Raw genomic sequence first — 17,330 nt, forward strand, 5'->3', positions numbered from 1 at the left:
CTTCTGGTCCACGATGGAACAGGCCAGCTGCTTCACATGAGCCAGCTCGGAGGCGGCGGGCAACAGCACGAACTCGCGGGTCAGCCCGATCTGGATGTGAAAGGAGACCCCGGAACCCGGGGCCGGGATCTGGGGCAGTAGCGGTGGCGGCGACTGCAGCTCTAGGCCGCCGGGGGGCGGAGGAGACCCCGGCCCGGGAGAGCCAGGGAGCCCGGCGGGATAAGAGGGGGCGGTGGCCATGGGGGGAGGCCGGGGACCGGCCGCCTGGAGCCCACCCGGGACCCGGCCGGGGGGCCCCGGGGGACCCTGGGTTCTAGATCCGCGGGATCTCGTGAGCAGGTGGTGGGAGAGCGGGGATCCGAGAAAAGATCTGGCAGGCGGAGGGGACCTGAGGATGGCGGGGTCCTGGGAAGGAGAGAAAGGCACTATAGTGGGTCAGAGGCCCGGAATCCAGGGCTCCCAGAAGATCAGAAAGGAGAAAAGTAGTGGGTTGGAGGTCCCAGCGATTGAGATTCCAAGAAGCCTGAGAGGAAATCTAGTAGGTCGGGGTCACAGGGATCAGGAGAGCCCGCGATTCAAAGGCCCCTTCCCTAGAGGAGGGATTGAGAAGGGGGCAGAGGGAATCCCAGGATCCAGTGCTCCAAGAAGAGGATCCCACTCAGAAGGCGGCCCGGGGGAATTCACCTTGGGGGTGGAGGGCAGGAGTCTCTGAGTCGGGGACCGAGTGGATTCCAGAGATAAAGGGGTTCGCAGGGACCCGACCGGCCAGGGGATGGGCAGAGGGGTCCCGAGGGCCGGAGTGGGTAGAAGGGAATCTCACGAGTCGCAGAAGTTGGAGAAAAGTTCGGTCGGGAGCCGTGAGGAAGGGGGCGTTGCCGGAGCGGGGTTGGGTGGGGGGCAGGGAGGGTCGCCAGGCGCCAGTAGCTCTTTTTCCCCCTCCAAAGTTTAAGTCGGCGGCGGCGGCGGCGGCCCAGGAGGAAGTGTCCGGAGCGACAGTGCAGTCGACCAATCGGCGCGGGCCTCGGCGACGTCAGAGAGGGGCGGAGCCTGCCGAGGGGCCGGGGGCGGAAGGGGAGGGTGGGCCCGGGGCCTCCGAGTTGGGGGCTGGACCTCCGCCTCCAGGGTCCGGGACAAGGGATGGTGTGAGGGATGGAGGGCAGGCAGGCGAGACCAGTTCCTTCCCTGAACACAGCCAAGCCTGGAAAGTTAACTTTTCCCTCGGCTGGACAGGGAGGGGAAACACTATCACCCACCGCCGGTCGCAGGCGTCGGGCTTGGAGGCCACTGGCCCTTTAAGGAGGGGAGCCCTCTCCGGCAGGCGTCCGGCGCCCATGGCAGGGGACGGGTGGGAAATCGGTATCAGGTCCCGGCCCGCTCTCTGGGTTCGGCCTCTCTGTTCTCCGAGCGTCACCCCTGCCCTCCCCGCCGCGTCCCAGCCCAGGGAAGGGGGTGCTGCAGAGCGTCCCCCGGCCCCAGCCCATTTAACACATGGAAAGACCGAGGCCTCCAGATGGGTAGGAAGGGGCTCGCCTTAGGTCTGTCTCCAGCGATGGTGGGCAAGGTGCATGGCGCTAACTGGATGGGTGGGGAGGGTCCATCCCCCCGCCCACCCCAACCCCGCCTTAGGATAGTGTGGGGCTGCCCCGAGGGAGGACAGCACACCCATACCACTTCATAGATGCAGAGTGTGTCTCCTGGGGATGTGGAGTACGTGTGCGTGTCTTTCTCTCCATGTGACTTTGGGTGAGTGGCTTCTCTGTGAGCCTCAGTCCCTCCATCTGTTGGGACTGTAATAGGACTGACCCCACATGGGATGGTGGGAGCCGATGCCATGGTATACTGGTGCCTGGAAACGCAGCAGTTCAGTAAGAGGTGGTTGTCTCTGATAATACGCGGAAAGGGGTGGCCACCTCCAGCACTCAGGCTTTGATGGGTGGGCACACCCATTCAGTCACCCAGCAAGTATCTGTGAGGACCTACTGGGTGCTGGGTGGGCCCTGCTGTAAAACTCCAGCCGCTACAGGGGTCAGGCTTGATCTCTCCTCCCCAGCTAATAATCAAATAGTGGCTACCATTTAGTTTACACAGAATAAGCTGAAGCCTCAGAGAAGCAAAACGTCTTGCCCAAGATCCCAGAGTGAAGTTGCTTGAGGGAAGCTGCCCCACCCACCCCTTTGATTGACAAGTCAAGGCCTAGGTTTGAGCTCTAAGAGAAGGGCCACCTGTCTGGCTGGGATGCTGGCAGGACTGGAAATGGCAGGGCTGGCTGAGGATGGGGGCTGCCAGAAGAGCCCCTCTTCCTGGTGTACGGCCGTTGGGGGTAGCTGAGGTCGGTACAGTATCGATTCTGTCACCACATCCGGGGGCTGGGGCTGAGGAAGGAAGTCTGAGGCTGGAGTGAAAACCCAAACCACCACCTGGGGAACTGCATTGAGCCCAGAGGGATGGGCAGGGAGCACACCACGTGGAGCCCACGAAGGCTCCCCTTGGCGTCATCTAAGGGCCTCCTGCCCACCTGCACCCTTTTTCCTGAAGGGCAGATGACTGTCCCAGCAAAACGCTGCCATGTCCTGAGTGTCCAGACAGCGGCCTCCATCCTTTCTCGTATGTTCACTGGGGCCTGCTGGGGGACTGGGGCACAGCCCTTTACAACCCAGGAACTGGGCATTAGTGCCCTGTGGCAGAGGTGCTAGGATTACCGAGGACGCCTGGCTGGTAGGTGGTGGAAGCCTCCTCGAGACAGGAGCAGCGGTCCCCTCCGTCTCATCTGGAGCATGTGGACACCTGCTCCCTCTTTTTAAGGCTGTGGACCCAGTGAAATGCCATGTAAAGCACTCAGTACAGTAGACGTGGACCACTGAGAAGGGAAAGGAGGGACGCATCAGGACATGAGCCACGAGGGCTCGGGCACCTGCGGCACCTCCTCCCAGCATGGAGGAGCCTGCGCCCCAAAGCCATCATCCTCCACTGGCAGGTGCAGCCTTTTCCCTCCCTGCTCCTTGTGGGCCTGGGATGGGAACAGGAAGGGGGTTTACGTCCTCTGGGCACCAGCCCTTTGGCCTCGCCACCACCCTCACACATCCCAGGCGGGGCTGAGGCTTCAGCTGGACTGTCATCATAGTATCTGCTCCCCAGGGCTCTACCCCTGGGGAGGGAGCACTTAGGGACAGAAAGGGCACAAGGAGATTCGGTCCAGTGCCTCCACTTCTCTCCACCCACACCCCACCCAAGCTCTGGGCCCGTCTCCGGCCCCTGCTGCCCTACCACAAAACCCCAACCCATCATATCCCCTCTCTCCAAACTCCACCCAACCCAGGCAGAGCCGGTCACTCCTCCCCCAAAGTCCCCAGTGCCCTCAACAGATGGCACCGTCACCCATCTTACTCCAAAGGGTTTATTGAGACAAGTTTTCACATACAAGATGGGGACAGAGGGGTTGGGGCTTATAAACAGGAACCTGGAAGGGGACCGAGGGTGCAGGGTAGAACCAAACAAGAGAGTGAAATAAATAGAGGGAAAGAGTGGAGACAGGGAGGAGACTGACTGAGACCATCACACAGTGATAATGCGGGTGGGGCGGCGCCATGAAAATCCCGTTATTTATACAGATATACAGGGAGTTCAGGGGGACCCGAGGCCCACTCCACCCTCCATGCCCCAGGGAGGGGCACAAGAAAGCCGTCTCTACCCATGGGCGACCCCATGGGGCGCTGGGAGGGCTGCCCTAGGAGTGTTGGGCAATCCCTGGCCTGGAAGCCTTGGTTAGTGTCTGGAAAGCAGTGGAGAGGGCCGGAGGGGAGGGGCAGCCAGGCCGGGGCTCAGCTCTGAGGCTCCCGGCTGCCACCCTTTCTCCCAGCACAGCTCCTGCCCAGGTCTGGGAGGATGGGGGATGGGGGAGCAGGAGCTCAAGGGGAGAACCTGGCACCTTCTGGAGTCTTGGAAAAACTGATCCCTAAAGACACCCGGCCCTGGCTGTGCTGCCCTCTGGAAAGCAGCTCTGATACCAGGAGCGGCTGTCAGGGCACAGGGGGAAACCCCGAGGCCATCCTCGGGGGTGATTCCTGAAAGGGGCCCATCCCCAGGCTGGATGCTTGGGGAAGGCAGCCGTTGGGGAGGGATTCCTGGGGAAAGGGCCGTTAGCACCACCAGGCTCCATGGCAAACAGACAGAGGCCAGGCCTCTGCACCTCCAGCGAGGCTGGGAGTCCCCTGCGGGAAAGAGAAGGGAGGGGAGACTGAGCCGCCGCCTCTAGGGCGCCTCTAAGGCCTCAACCCCTCCCCTGCATGCCCAGGGCTCCCCCAGTGATTCTCACAGGACGCCCCTGACTGGACTGCGGGGCTCAGCACACCTGGCAGTACTAGGCATGGGCGTGCAGAGACTCAGAATGCGGGGTTTCTGCCCTCACCTCAGCCCCACCTGCCCGGCCCTACACCCCAGCCAGCGTGGCGGCCAGGGCAGGGCCAGGTGGGCATCATACGAAGACCTTGGCCAGGGCATCAGCGCCAGCACTGGCAATGAGGGCCTTGCTGGGGTGGCAGGCAACAGCGTGGATGGCCTCCTCGTGCTTCTTGCGGTGGGCCGTGATCTCCTGCACGCACGTTTTGTTGTCCAGGCTCCAGAGACGCAGGGAGCAGTCATGGCCTGCACATGTGTCGGGGACAGAAGGGGTGGTCACTGGGCTCCTCGCTCAGACGCAGCCCTGGAACCCCTCACCTGGCCTTGTCCAAAGGCCTCAGGGGAAGTGGGGCTCAACTCTCCTCTCTCACCCTCTGCTCATCACCTCCTGTGGCCCGCCCAAAGGAGAACCCTGGTCCCCTCCTGTCCACAGTCCATCTCATCCCCCAGCATTTCTTGAGCAGCTACTGCACACTGAGCCCCAGGGCGGCAGGGGCAGTGAACAAAACAGGCAACTCTCCCTGCCCCGCAGCACTGACGCTGCAGCTGGGCAACAGGAAGAGAAAGAAGAAAGCAACCCAGCCGGTCAGTGTGAGGACAGAATGGCCCCAGGAGGAATGCAGGGAGCCTTCCAGGCAGAAGGACAGGCGGGAAAGGTCCTGAGGCAGGAGGTGGGGGTGGCCACAAGAGCCTTAGCAGGGACTTGGGGAGAAGAGGGGAGAGGACGGCAGGCTGGGCAGGGCCCTGGCGAGGAGAAGTTTAATTTAGGGTCAAGAGGATCAGGCAGGGCAAAGGCTCAGCTCCCTCCACTGTCTAGTGGCCCCCAGAATAGAGCCCTGTCTGGGCACTGGGCTGGAGCTCACTGACCAGCCCCTCACCCACCAGAGGCTGCCAGCACAGGCCCGGAGGCAGAGCCCAGCCACAGCCTCCAACACCACGGCCTGCGCCTCTGTGCACACACACTCACTGCTGCACTCACTGCAGGCCTCACCCTTCACCCCCACAGCGACCTCCAGTCTCCTTCTCCACCCACCCACGTCACACTCCATCCCTTCTAAGCACAGCCACGTTGCTGGCCTCAATGCCCTTATCCAGAGACAACAGGGTGGGAGCACAGAAGTCCCACGGGTACCCCCAGGTAGACCTGGACTGATGTTACAGAGCTTCAATGGCCAAGTTACAAAGCGTCTGGGCATCAGGGCCCACATCTGTAAACTGGGGATCAAAGTACCAACCGCACAGGCTGCTTAGAGGCCGAATGAGACGATGCAGCTCCAGTGACCCAGAGGAGGGCCCCAGCGGACTGTGCTGCCCCCTATGGTCACCACGGTCATTCCCGCCCAGACCAGCCTCCCCCAGCCCTGGCCCCCGGGGCCCCCTGAGCACTTGCCTGGAGCCAGTGCCCAGGCCTCTTCCTCCCCTTCTCCCCAACCCTGGTGGGACTAGTGTGCTCAACTTACTTCCTGACATCAGGAATGCGCCGTTGGGGTCCACGGCTAGGCAGGTGACTGCGTCCAGGTGTGCAACCATGGAGTGCACCGGCTTACCTGAGGCGAGAAGGGCGGGTGGCAGGTTCCCCTCCCACTCTGGGCCTCGCCTGAGAGAGTGAAAGGACTGGACGAGAGACTCCCAGAGCCTCCCACAGGGACGCAAGCATCTCTGCTGCCTGCCTCTGGCCCTCCCCACCCACTACGAGCACAAGGGGCTAGGCCTCACCTGTCCGATTGTCCAGGAAGCGGATGCCCCTGTCGTCGTGGGCGGTGATGGTGAGAGGCTGGTTTGGATGACTCACCACTTGGTTGATCTGGGTTGGACCTGAAGGAAAACGCAGGAAGAGGGAAGGATGTCAAGCAGAAAATCAGGAAGACCAGAACAGAGGCACAAGCGCAGCGTGACAGCCCCTACACCAGCCTCTGCCTGGATGTCGAGGGGGGCTGGGCGAGGGCACTCCGGTCCCCGACCGCAGCGCTGGTTCTGCACAAGCAGCCCCTGGGCCCTGTTTTGGGGCGGGGGAAGAGGAATAACAAACATGAACACATTCCGCCACTCTACCAAGAGGGCCCGACGGGGCGGCCCTGACGCGCTCTCCCCACTCAGCCCCGCCAGTGCCCTGGCTGTGAGGGCCGGGGGCCCTCCACTGGGACCCAACTTCCTTCCTGCTCAGGGCCTGAGGGTGCAGGGGAGTCATCTGAGCTGACTGACAAGGGGTCGCCAAAGCCCCAGGAGGAAGTGGGGCCCAGAAGACACTGAGACCAATTCCATGAGCTGATGTCAGCCCCCTTACCGCTGCTGCCCCGGGACTCCAGCGTGAGGAGGGCACTGCCAACCTCCATGTCATACAAGACGGTGTCGCCAGAGCGGAAGGAGGCCACGATGTGGGCAGGCTCGGTGCTGGTGAAGGCCACTGAGGTGGGGACCCCGTGCTCTGAGGGCACAGGGAAGAGAAGGCTGCTGAATGGACCCTCAGACCCAGCCCTGCCCCAGGGTGGGGGACAGTGGGTGGGAGGCCTGGGGCCTCAGCAGGAACCACTCTGATAGCCTCCAGATCCCGCACAGCTCCAGGGTGAGGCACCGGGGCCCCCACTCACCGCTGGCTGTGGGGAAGGTGCAGAGGCAGGCCGGGCTGCTGCTGCTGGGGTCCCAGATGCGGACGGTGCCATCAGCAGAACAGGAGGCCAGGCGCTGGGAGGTGGGACTGAAGGCCAGGCCCCACACGGCGTCCCCGTGGCCCTCCAGGACGTGGCTCAGCACGCTTGGGTCTGCACCCACCGCAGGGAGGAAATGGGCTGTGTCAGGGCTGCCAGCTCCTCCCTGGACAGCCCAGAGCCCCAGCTCTGCCAAGCCCCAGGCAGCTGGGCTCCAATCACCCACGCACCCACTTCACACCTGGTGCCCCTCGGAACTGTCCACTGCCAGGACAGCCCGGCAGCTGCTCACACTGCCCACTAGCTCTCCAAGGAAGGTTCTAGGGCTCCAGAAGGCAGGGATTTCCCTCTATTCACAGCTGTCTCCCCAAGCAGGGCCCAGAAACTGGGAGCTCAATACAGAATTTTTCGGGCTCCATTAAGGAAGAAGGAACAGCATGGTTCTGTGGCCCCAGGAGCGGCACGCAGCCTGTGCTGGACAAGGGTTGGTCCCAACCCTGGCCCGAGCAGTCTTTTCAGCCCATGGCCAAGTGCATGGGCTTTGCCTGGTCTCTCCAAAGCCCCCTGGTCATTCAGAGGTCCAATCACTGCTTCCCTGGTTGCTGGAGTCCACACCAGCAGCTCTGGCCTGCTGACACCGAAAGTGTGGTGGCTAATGTAGCTGGGACCGATCCTGACCTTGTGCAGGTGAGCCTGTTCTCTAAAGTCTGTCCTCCCCTTGAGAGGAGACAAAGACCTCTGAACTCTGCCCAGACAAGGTGGAGCACAGGGCCAGGTGCATGATCAAGGAGGCAGAGCCGGGCGCAGTGGCTCATGCCTGCAATCCCAGCACTTTGGGAGGCCAAGGTGGGTGGATCACCTGAGGTCCGGAGTTCAAGACCAGCCTGGTCAACGTGGTGCAACCCTGTCTCTACCAAAAATACAAAAAATAGCTGGATATGGTGGTGCGTGCCTGTAATCCCAGCTACTCGGGAGGCTGAGGCACGAGAATCACTTGAACCCAGGAGGTAGAGGTTGCAGTAAGCCAAGATCACGCCACTGCATTCCAGCCTGGGTGACAGAGTGAGACTCTTTGTCTCAAAAAAAAAAAAAAAAAAAAAAAAAAGGCAGAGAACAGGGGGACAGATGTTGAACAGAAGTGACAGTCTGGTCACTTCCCTACTTAGGTCTTAGATGCTCCAAAGAGAAAGCCCCAACGCGCTCCAGCCTGGCCCAGCTAACTCCACCTTCTCTGCTTTCTCTGGACATGCCCTCCCCTCAACCACGCAGAGACCCTGGCGGATCCCCACACACAGAGTACACGGCATGGCAGAGCAGAGGCTGCCAGGGCCAGCCACGCCTGTGCATGGGCTGCTCCCAGCCTGGGCTGCCTCAGCACTGCCTTCTGGACGCCGGCTCACAGAGATTCTCAGGCAGCTTCACCACCTCCTCCCACAGCCATCATTCCCATCCCGGCTGGCTCGTCCCTTGGCCACGCGCTGCATCGCGCTGCTCACAACAGAGCAGACAGGGGAGCCGTCACACGCACTCCTGAGGCCTGCAGTGTTGGCAAGAGGTGGACGCGACGTGTGTGTGCGTGGAGGGGACGGCCAGGCCCCAGTGGATGTGAGGGGAAGGCGGGAGGCGTTGTCCTCACCGTAGCCATCATAGGGATCCATGCTGAGGTCTGGAATCTTCCAACTATGGATGCAGGCATCTGCCCCGCCACTGTAGCAGTATTCACTGTTGCTGCCCATAGCCACAGCCAACACTGGGCCCCTGGAAGGGACAAATATGTGGAAAGGGGGATGAGACAAGCTCAGGGCCTCCCCTGGCCACAGGACCTAAGTTCCCTACTAGCATTCTTCAAGGATGGCCAAAAGGAATTCAGTGACTGGGGCTCTGGCCATGCTACCTGGACAAGCTGCCTGTCCCCTGCCCTCCCCCACCCCACCTCCATCTCCTCCCCTGAAGGGCTGTGCTGAGTACCAGCTGCCAGGGCATGTGAAAGTCAGCATGGAGCCCCAAGAACCAGGGCTGTGTATATCATGAAGGGGGCGGGGACTCAGAGCCCCCTGCTGTCCTGCCTCCTGCCGTGGGCCTCCCGCGATGGCAGTGAGCAGGTCAGGAGTCAGGCTGCATTTAGGACGAGTTTCTAGCAGGCTCAGGGGCACCTCCCTACCTGTGAGCCCGGAAAGCATGTATAGGTTCCACATCTAGCGCCGCATTCCTGTGGGATGACAGAGGAGCCTGATGTCACTGAGACCCTGTCACCCCCGTCCCCAGATGCCCCTGCCCCCGGCTCTGAGCTTGCTGCCCTCACTTCTTGGCCGTGACCGCCTTCTGCAGGTTCCAGAGCTTGAGCGTGCCGTCCTCGGAGGCGGTGAGCAGAGCCGACTGGCTGTGGTGGAAGGCCAGGGAACGAATGCCGTCGTAGTGCGAGCGCAGGGTGAACTTGGGGTTCCACGTCTTCTTAAAAGCATCTTTGCTGTCAGACAGCTGGGGTTGGGGGGAGCTGCCTCAGTGTCTTCGCATCCATCCCAGCAGTCATGCAGACACCGACACCCAGGGCTTGAGGGCCCCTGTCTTCCACCCACATGACCCTGGCAGGAATGCCCTCAGAGCCTGGGCTCCAGCCGGGAACTCTCCCCTTCCTCTGCTGGGCAGAGTCTCCATGCTCGCCCAACAAGTCCCCACACTGCGCTGGGTTCTGGAGAGACAAAGGTGAGCCTGACCCCTTGGGGTCTTGCAGTTGAGAGGAAGGGGAATGGGGGACACAACTGGACCATCCCACAAGTGTGCAGGATCATCAGCCATGAGCAGGGCAATGAATTAAAGATGCACAGAGAGACATCAGGCAGCCTGCCCTCCTCCCTGGGGGCCACTGAGGCTTTCCTGAGGAAGCACGAGCCAGCAGGACTTCACAAGATAAGGAGAGGGCCCTGGAGAGGGAAAGGGCCCGTGCAGAGGCCCTGAGGCAGCAAGGGCGAGCCCAGGCCTGAGAGGTCAGTGGTACAGGCTGCAGGAGGCAAGGAGAGTGGCAGGGGATGAGACAGGTGCTGGGTGGTGAGCCCCGGAGGAATGCGCATTTCATCCTAAGAAAAAGCCTCAGAGAAACAAGGAGCCGGGGAAGTGTTTAGAGCAGGGGAACGACATGGCTTGTTCCTGCCACCCCTGAGAGGCTCAGATTAGGGGCAGGTAAAAGTAGCCACAGACGGGGCACAGTGGCTCACGCCTGTAATCCCAGAACTTTGGGAGGCCAAGGCAGAACGATCATTTGACCCCAGGAGTTCGAGACCAGCCTGGGTAACATAGGGAGATCCCCTCAAGGAGCAAAAAAAAAAAAAAAAGGTAGCCTCAGAGAAAGAGGTTGAGAGGCCAGGAAGTCCCAGGGGAGATGAGGGCATGGAGACCAGACACGTGACCATGAAGGGGAGGCAGTGCACAAGTGGGAGAGCTGTGGGGGCCTCTGTCCACCACGCTGCATGCGCCCTGGTGCCGCTCACCCAGCAGGGGACCCGGAGAGGGCCAGGTTCCGGAGAGATGACGAGCAGAGTACCAGGCAAGCCTCAGCACCATGCCCCAAGATGGGCTCCCAGCTGACGTCCCTGCCTTAGCTGTCCCTTCTGCCACAGTTCTTTAGGGTCAGAGGATCTGCTACTGTGTGGTTCACTCACCCCCTCCCCTAGCGGGGCTCAGAACACTGCACTTCCCCAAGATGAAATGACATCTTGGGGCGTGCAGAGGGACCCCATGGCACACTCCACTTCTCAGGCCTCTGCTCTGACCCCCCTTCCTGAATCTCACAGCAGTCCCCACCCAGCCTTACTAGGGTCACCAACACTGGAAATCCCATTCTGTCACAGTAAAATGTGCACATACACCCACACCAAAAGCTCCCAGCTGGCCAAAGGCTCCCAGCTGGCCAAAGGCTCCCAGATGGCCAGAGGCCCGTCCACTGAGGCCCGGAACATTTCATTTCAGCCCAGCTGCCCATTCACACTAGATTGGCCTGACTTGGCAGAGCAGGGGGTGGCTACAGGTCATCTTCCTGCATTCCAAATCACCAGGGTGGGAGGGGCAGAGTGGAGGAGCCGTGGAACTGTGATTAAAACACAGGCTCCAGAGTCTTCCAGGCCCTGCGCCTTGGCGACCGCAGTCAAGTCCCTCCACTGTCTACATCTGCACCCCTCTGTGAAACAGGATGAGCAGGGCACGGGCGGCACCCAGTCAGAGCTTGCAGGGGCTGGCCCTGGGCGCAATGCCAATGGGGACAGTGTGGGGGGCACCCGGAGAACTTACATCGCAGCTGAGGTCGTTGTCGTTGGTGACGGTGAGATCTGCCAAGTCCCCCAGGCTCACCTCCCCGCCCCCGATAGTGTCCATGATGAAGACGTCTGAGGAGAAGCCAAAGGAACCTGGTAGGGGGAGGGGAGGGAGGGGCAGAGAGGGCCAGGGAGAGAGAGAATGACAGAGAGAGGCAGAGAAAGAGATAAAGAGCAAGAGAGAGAGACGGGGAGAGGACAAGATGAAGAATCACAGCTGGAAAGAGACAGAGAGACAGACAGGGCAGGACAGACAAAAAGAGAGGGAGACAGACAGACAGACGAACTTTTGGGGCAGGGAGGCTGCAGACTGGAGGCTGGGCCTCGACCCTGAAGACACAGAAGCCCTGGGCTCAGCTCTGCAGCCTCCCTCTGCCATGGGCCCGCAGGACTGGGACCAGGTGGGGGGTGCCTCTTACCTTCATGTGGCCGGGGCTGGGGTGTGCCAGGAGGCGGGCCAGTCACTTTTGGGGGCAGCCCATCCACATCCCGCAGGTCAGCCAGAATGCCTTGGAGTTTGACCCGACGGCTTTCTGCAGGGTCGAGGCATAGGGCCGGAGTCACCCAGCAGTTCCAACCCAGTCTGGCATAGGTGACGCCTTCCCCACACTGAGGGCCCCCTGCCACTCTGTGGGGCTGTGAAGCTCTGGCCCTGGGGGAGGGGGGGAATGGGCAGAGGAGAGGAGGTTGATTGGGCCCCTCCGTGGGGCAGTGGGCAGGTCACTGCCTTGCCTAGGCCTCAGGCCCCAGCCACCCATCCCACGTATCCTGAGAGCCCTCCTAGCTAGGAGTCACAGGACAGGGAGGAAGATGCGGCCCTCCCACCTGCCTCTCCCCGACTGGGTCCTCATCCTGTTCCCTCCTTGAGGCCAGCCAGAGCTGGACGCCCGCCCTGGAGGGCTGGCGGCCCCACTTCAGGAAGAGCCAGGACTGCCTGCGTCTCCATGGGGATTTTCCAGGGAAGGGGTGAGGGGCCGGCGGCCATGACCTGGGCCTCCTGCTCTCCTTGGCTACCCTCCTCTCAGGAAACATATCCGTCCGGTAGAGAGACCCTGTACAGGAAGCAGCTGCGGGCAGCTGAGCCTGCTCCCACCCCCTCGGTGGGGAAGGCAAGCGGGGGCTGGCCAGAAAACGTCAGCTCACCCAGCTCATGGGGGCTCCCATCCACAGTGCACCGCCGAGGGTCTGGAGCCCCTTCCCCATCCTCTCCTGAGCCCAGGAAATCAAACTCATTGATAGCATCCTCAGAGTCGTCTTCCTCATCCTCGTCTTCCATTTCGGGCACCAGAGCCTTGGATGGGAGCTGGCACATGGAGAAAGCCAGACAAGTCAGGGGGCCTCTTGTCCAGAGACTAAGCCACCTCCGTGCCTAGGAACAGGTAAGCCGGGGCTCTGGGCCCGTTTCTGTTCATGGGGCTGCCTCAGCCGCCAGCCAGCTGCCCTGGAGCGCCCCCTGCTGGGCCTTGGACAGCTGCTACCACTAGGGCCGGTCGGCCTGACCCCACCCTCACGCAGTCCTTCCCCTAGCCAGGGCTCAGCCTGCTCCAGTCCCCCAGCAAGGTGCCTCGGATGAAGAAAAGTCAGATAATGCAACAATCTGCCTGCAGGGAGGGCAGATATGCACTGGTGTCCGTGTGTGAATATACGGAGGTGCAAACAAGTGAGGATGAATGGACCACAGCATTGCAGCGATAAACACAGCACCAGCAGCCGTGCTGGCACAAGAGCAAATTCCACTCACTGAATGACCACTGACTACCCCTCGCAGACACGACTTCACTTAACCCCCAACCCTGCGAACAGCTACCGTGAACACTGTCATTATCATTCCCACATTACAGGCCAGGAGACAGGCTGAGCAGCAGGAACCCACTTGCCCTAGGTCACCAAGGCCAAGCTCTGCCCACTGTGAACTCCTCCAGGGCGTGGCTGACCCCTTCCACATGTCAGCCCCCCAGGCTGAGTTTGGCGACACCTCTCGGGCACCAGTGAGGGGCCAGCCTCTGACCTGCATGGGGGGGACCAGAGGGAAGGGGCATGGAGAAGACCTAGGGCCAAGGTTTATTCAACACTTGTGCAAAGAATGGGGAAGGGGAGGGTTTAGACAGCATGCCCAGAAAGGCAGCGGCCGGGCTCAGGACTCCAGAGGAGAGAACCACCACAGGTGCTCTGAGGGGCACACGAGTGGCAATTGTGCTCTGCCAACAGTGCCTGGAACCATGAGGGCTCCACCACTACCAAGTGCCACCAGCGCCACTAACACCTACTGAGCACTTGGGGGACAGCCACCATGCAGCTGAGGGCTTCCTGGGCACCAGCTCATTCTAATTAAATCCTCAACAACTCAGACGGAGGGACTCAGCCCCATCTAAAGGGTGAGGAGACTGAAGCCAAGACAAAGAAGTGTGGGCCAGAACTCACGCAGCTGGGCCAGGGCCCCCTGGGAGCCATGGGCAGTCCCCTGGGTTCCCAGCTGGGCCTCGATGGAGGGCTGCTGCGTAGAGACAGAGAGCCCTACCCAACCAGCCAGCCCAAGGGTGTGGGCCCGAAGGGGTGCAAACACCACGGATGATTCCTGATGGAATGGGTGGAGGGGTGGAAAAGGACTAGAAATTCTCAGAGGGGTGGGAAGGACCAAGCGTCTGGACCAGGGGCCAGCATTTGAGACCCTGGACTCAGCCCTCCTGCTCTTCCTCTAGGCCTCCTGCAGTGCTGCGGCTCCGTGCACACCACTCTACTTGGGGTGCGACTCTGTGCTGAGCCACACTGGGGATACTGGAGATGCAGTGGAGGCCCACACAGGCCCAGTCCCTCCCAGGGAGAGGTCAGGAGGAATACAGACCAGACAGGGAGGACCCCAGAGTGGCCAGGGCCAGGGAAGGGAGCCCAGGGTGAGTCAGAGAAGGCTTCCTGGAGGAGGGGGTGTCTGAGCTGAGTCTAAAGGAGGAAAGAAAGGGGACCTAGGCAAAGGGACCCGCTAATGGGAAGCCCGGGGCTCAGGGAAAGCTCCGAGGCCATCTGCCACAGGTGCCTCCTTCATAGGCACATGCCCCTGCCTCCACCACAACGCGTCCTTCTGCACATGACTATTTACAAGGCCGCTGCTGGCCACAAGCTCCTCCAGGCCAGGGCCTGTGTGTCTCCATATCCCTGCTGCCAGCACACACCGCAGCCCCTGAAGGCCCAGGCTGACTCGGAAGGGCTTCGATCAGGTCACACCCAGGCCAGGCTGTGCAGGGCATGGAGGAAGGGCTCACCTTCACACGCTGCTTCTTGTGCTGCACGCTGTCCAGCTCATCGTCCTCGTCGCTGTCTTCGTCCTCGCAGTTCTGCAGGAAGGGGATCTGCCCCAGCACTGAGCCGCCCAAGCGCTCTTTGCCATCTTTGCCTGCCGCGTTCCTGCCAAAGACAGCAGAGCAGAGGAGGCATGAGTCCTGGCAGGTGTCAAAGCTCAGATAGGAAGGTGCCCTCCCAGGCTTGGTGGCCAGAGCCCAGACCCAGCTAACCCCCTAACCCCTGAGCAGCCTTGACTCTGGTCACACACAGAGCCCCAACCCCAGCCTCTGCCCAACAAATGCTCATTCCAACTGGAAGCCTCACTCAGACCGCAAACGGGGCCCAGCTCCTCAATGACCGCCGACCTGAGTTTCAGAGGGCCAGCCCCCAACCCTGGTCACAAATCTCCATCCTGTGCTGAGTCAGAAGGAAAGCTGGATGAGAAAGTGCCACTGACTCAGCAGTCCCCATTCCCACAGCCCAGTCAGACCACAAGGGCAGGTCAGGCAGGAGGCAAACACGCCCTGCAGGAAAGAGGAACCGGCCATTCTACAAATGCTCTGGGAGGCGCCGAAAGCCAGCCAGCCTCGCGCAAGCAGGGGCGCCGGCGATCCCTGCTACCCAGGAGCCTGCACTATCCCCAGCAACAGATGGCACTCCTCCTTCCACCTCCTGGCTTCCAACTTCATGACAAGTTATAGCAGAGGAGGTACTGACCCAGCCTGACTGCGGGAGAAGGCAGGGTGCAATTCCAAGTGCAGATCGACGAAAACGTCCCCCCTTTCTGCCATCAGGTTGATGCCCTGGAGGTCTTGTCAACTGCCAGTTACCAACGGGTGCAGAGGTCACTGCAGATGTACCCTCTCGCCTCACGGCTGCCATCACCAGAGCTCCACTCCATCCTCAGAACACTCGCTGCACTTGCAGCGGGACACAGGACTCCATTCTCACCGGCCTTCCTCCCACAACGACACTGACACGCCGCACAGGCTCAGCCTCTTTCTCAGCTTCCTCCTCCTGTTCCTCCCTCCAGCCTCTAAGTGGGAGAGCACCCGGGCAGTCCCCAGATCTCTTCTCTGCGTCATCTACACTCACTCCTGCAGGCACTGCAGACGGCCATGGCTTTCCAAAGAATGCCCATGTGCTTGTTCAACTAGACCTATGTTTAGGGGCCAAATGCCCCGCAGCTCCAGACGAGCTCTGCTTCTCCACATGGGGGTAAACAGGCCCCTCACACTTCACACAACCTCGGCGGCCCCCAGAACTTCCACTCCCAGGCTTCCCCGTCTCAGGGGATGCTGCTCCAATGGCTCACACCAAACCCTGGAGTCGCTCGTTTCTTTTCCTCTCCCCTTAGCTGCAGTCCTTCAGTGTCGACTGCCTGAAAGCCTCTGGGGAAGCTGACACCTCTCGCCTCACCACCGCTAAAGTCCATCAGCTCTGTCCCAGACATCGAGCCATCTCCTAACTGGTCCGCCTGCCTCCTCTGTGACCCTCCCACACCTCTCCTTCTCAGAGTGGATCAGGTACGTCAGATTATGTCACCCCGCTGCTCGAAAGCACTGGCTTCCCACAACCCTGAGTCAAACTCAGACTCTATCCCAGCCCAAGGCCCTGAGTGGCTGACTCCTGAGACCACAACCTCCCCGCAGCCCACGCCTCACTGCCTGCGGCCATGCCGGCCTCGTGCTGCTTCTGTGCAGGCTGCGTCTCTCCTGCCTCTGGACCTCGGGGTTCACTGTGCCCTCTGCCTAGAACATTCTCCTCCCAGCCACTCGTGTGGCTTACCCTCCATTTAATGCCCACAGAGGCCCTCCCTGCCCACCCCCTGCAGAGGAGCACATATTGGCCCTCGTGGTCTCCATCGTGCTTAGCATCACCTACGTGGCCTCACTTGTTCTGCTTAACTGACAATTGCTGATGAGAGTGAACAAGCCAGAGATTCCTGAGGGTGGCGACCACGTGTGCTCCACTCCCTGCTGGCGAGGCACCCAGGGTGTGCCTTCGGTAAGCACCCCACTCGACCGAGAAGCGGGCAGGCCTGAGTATCAGGACGGGGGCAGGGCTGGAGATGAGGCCATGGCGAAGTGTGTGGAGGGAACCCAGGACAGAATCCGGGGGATCCCAGCAGTGAAGGGACTCAGGGTTTCAGAACAAGGGAGCCCACGGCATACTCCAGGAGGAGGGGCCGCCAGGGCACCCAGCGCCATCAGCTGACACTCTGACCCTGGCCTTCACCAGCAGTCAGGAGGAACAGAGAGACACACCTGCCATGTCCACGGGCTCACCTCTTTATCTGCTCCTCGATCTGTTTCACCAGCAGCGACTCCCCACCACTGAGCCCTGCAGGGCCTGGTGGAGCCCTGGGGGCCCCTTCACTCGGCTCCACTGCCCCGTTGAGCTCCAGCGAGCGGCCCAGCAGGGAACGGACGCGCTTGGACCGCATGTCGAGGATGGTGTCTGTGTAGCCCACCTCTTCCAGGTACCTGCAGGGGTGCAGAGCCACGTGGGTCAGACATCCCCTGGGCTTCTTCATGTACCACAGGGGCCAATGCAAACCGAGACAACCTCTTAAGGGGCCACTTAAGAGCATACACCAAAATCTGACATAAGCACACCCTCGCTCCAGCAGTTCCCCGTCAAGGCTATTTCCAGTGGAAGCCCTTGTACACACACACAATGCTATGTGTGAGGGTGCTCCCTGCACTGC

General features: G+C 61.2%; 3 protein-coding genes across 16 annotated transcripts in view, besides 9 other annotated features; all 3 read right to left on the bottom strand.

Annotated features, from left to right (window-relative positions):
• Window positions 1-984, bottom strand: part of PRKD2 (protein kinase D2) — a 42,799-nt gene extending 41,815 nt beyond the window's left edge. For 3 of the 5 annotated variants that reach the window (XM_005258716.3, NM_016457.5, XM_047438568.1), the window contains exon 1: window positions 1-984. Coding sequence is in view for 3 of the 5 variants with exons in the window: in NM_016457.5 (NP_057541.2) it covers window positions 1-240 (240 nt within the window). In the remaining 2 variants the exon portion in view is untranslated. The other 2 variants (NM_001079881.2, NM_001079880.2) reach the window with 2 other exon arrangements.
• Window positions 404-3,592, bottom strand: LOC107987269 (uncharacterized). Its single transcript, XM_017027568.2, has 4 exons — window positions 2,516-3,592; window positions 2,223-2,372; window positions 1,669-1,846; window positions 404-1,047 (listed from the first exon to the last, which is right to left on the bottom strand). Exons 1-4 carry the CDS (start codon window positions 2,931-2,933, stop codon window positions 681-683), a joined length of 1,113 nt encoding a protein of 370 aa, XP_016883057.1. The 5' UTR covers window positions 2,934-3,592; the 3' UTR covers window positions 404-680.
• Window positions 880-929: a silencer, noted in NCBI's record as "silent region_10823". NCBI's record gives its function as "represses an Ori minimal core promoter by ATAC-STARR-seq in GM12878 lymphoblastoid cells {active_cell/tissue: GM12878}" and the evidence as "EXISTENCE:reporter gene assay evidence [ECO:0000049][PMID:35858748]".
• Window positions 950-1,109: a silencer, noted in NCBI's record as "silent region_10824". NCBI's record gives its function as "represses an Ori minimal core promoter by ATAC-STARR-seq in GM12878 lymphoblastoid cells {active_cell/tissue: GM12878}" and the evidence as "EXISTENCE:reporter gene assay evidence [ECO:0000049][PMID:35858748]".
• Window positions 2,230-2,279: an enhancer, noted in NCBI's record as "active region_14847". NCBI's record gives its function as "activates an Ori minimal core promoter by ATAC-STARR-seq in GM12878 lymphoblastoid cells {active_cell/tissue: GM12878}" and the evidence as "EXISTENCE:reporter gene assay evidence [ECO:0000049][PMID:35858748]".
• Window positions 3,381-17,330, bottom strand: part of STRN4 (striatin 4) — a 26,940-nt gene continuing 12,990 nt past the window's right edge. For 5 of the 10 annotated variants that reach the window (NM_001039877.2, XM_006723171.3, XM_047438713.1 and 2 more), the window contains 14 exons: window positions 16,909-17,106; window positions 14,602-14,743; window positions 12,488-12,647; window positions 11,764-11,877; window positions 11,322-11,437; window positions 9,343-9,518; window positions 9,202-9,249; window positions 8,677-8,798; window positions 6,984-7,154; window positions 6,680-6,820; window positions 6,112-6,210; window positions 5,856-5,942; window positions 4,406-4,641; window positions 3,381-4,208 (listed from right to left, as the gene is read on the bottom strand). In NM_001039877.2, coding sequence (NP_001034966.1) covers window positions 4,472-4,641; window positions 5,856-5,942; window positions 6,112-6,210; window positions 6,680-6,820; window positions 6,984-7,154; window positions 8,677-8,798; window positions 9,202-9,249; window positions 9,343-9,518; window positions 11,322-11,437; window positions 11,764-11,877; window positions 12,488-12,647; window positions 14,602-14,743; window positions 16,909-17,106 — 1,744 coding nt within the window. In that variant the 3' untranslated portion in view covers window positions 3,381-4,208; window positions 4,406-4,471. Of the gene's footprint in view, window positions 4,209-4,405; window positions 4,642-5,855; window positions 5,943-6,111; window positions 6,211-6,679; window positions 6,821-6,983; window positions 7,155-8,676; window positions 8,799-9,201; window positions 9,250-9,342; window positions 9,519-11,321; window positions 11,562-11,763; window positions 11,878-12,487; window positions 12,648-14,601; window positions 14,744-16,908; window positions 17,107-17,330 lie in introns of those variants that run through there. The other 5 variants (NM_013403.3, XM_006723172.3, XM_047438714.1 and 2 more) reach the window with 3 other exon arrangements.
• Window positions 9,215-9,759: an enhancer, noted in NCBI's record as "H3K4me1 hESC enhancer chr19:47228602-47229146 (GRCh37/hg19 assembly coordinates)". NCBI's record gives its function as "activates a minimal SCP1, AML or CMV promoter by ChIP-STARR-seq in naive H9 embryonic stem cells {active_cell/tissue: H9 hESC(naive)}" and the evidence as "EXISTENCE:reporter gene assay evidence [ECO:0000049][PMID:30033119]".
• Window positions 11,390-11,933: an enhancer, noted in NCBI's record as "H3K4me1 hESC enhancer chr19:47230777-47231320 (GRCh37/hg19 assembly coordinates)". NCBI's record gives its function as "activates a minimal SCP1, AML or CMV promoter by ChIP-STARR-seq in naive H9 embryonic stem cells {active_cell/tissue: H9 hESC(naive)}" and the evidence as "EXISTENCE:reporter gene assay evidence [ECO:0000049][PMID:30033119]".
• Window positions 12,478-13,021: an enhancer, noted in NCBI's record as "H3K4me1 hESC enhancer chr19:47231865-47232408 (GRCh37/hg19 assembly coordinates)". NCBI's record gives its function as "activates a minimal SCP1, AML or CMV promoter by ChIP-STARR-seq in naive H9 embryonic stem cells {active_cell/tissue: H9 hESC(naive)}" and the evidence as "EXISTENCE:reporter gene assay evidence [ECO:0000049][PMID:30033119]".
• Window positions 14,458-15,657: an enhancer, noted in NCBI's record as "CDK7 strongly-dependent group 2 enhancer chr19:47233845-47235044 (GRCh37/hg19 assembly coordinates)". NCBI's record gives its function as "activates an origin of replication core promoter dependent on BRD2, BRD4, P300/CBP, MED14 and CDK7 cofactors, with strong dependence on CDK7, by STARR-seq in HCT116 cells {active_cell/tissue: HCT116}" and the evidence as "EXISTENCE:reporter gene assay evidence [ECO:0000049][PMID:35650434]".
• Window positions 14,458-15,939: a biological region, named in NCBI's record as "CDK7 strongly-dependent group 2 enhancer GRCh37_chr19:47233845-47235044".
• Window positions 15,122-15,939: an enhancer, noted in NCBI's record as "H3K4me1 hESC enhancer chr19:47234509-47235326 (GRCh37/hg19 assembly coordinates)". NCBI's record gives its function as "activates a minimal SCP1, AML or CMV promoter by ChIP-STARR-seq in primed H9 embryonic stem cells {active_cell/tissue: H9 hESC(primed)}" and the evidence as "EXISTENCE:reporter gene assay evidence [ECO:0000049][PMID:30033119]".

This window comes from Homo sapiens, chromosome 19, assembly GCF_000001405.40.
Source record: "Homo sapiens chromosome 19, GRCh38.p14 Primary Assembly".
NCBI classification, from domain to species: Eukaryota; Metazoa; Chordata; class Mammalia; order Primates; family Hominidae; genus Homo; species Homo sapiens.

Bases quoted from the DNA above. Each gene is read 5' to 3' on its own strand.
- LOC107987269 (XM_017027568.2), bottom strand. From the start codon at position 2,933: ATGCTGGGAGGAGGTGCCGCAGGTGCCCGAGCCCTCGTGGCTCATGTC. The intron at 2,373-2,515 runs GTGGGCAGGAGG...TTCCTTCCTCAG, and splicing joins CTTCAGGAAAAAGGGTGCAG to CCCCAGCCCCCGGATGTGGT. The intron at 1,048-1,668 runs GTATGGGTGTGC...GCCCCTCGGCAG, and splicing joins CACTCTGCATCTATGAAGTG to GCTCCGCCCCTCTCTGACGT.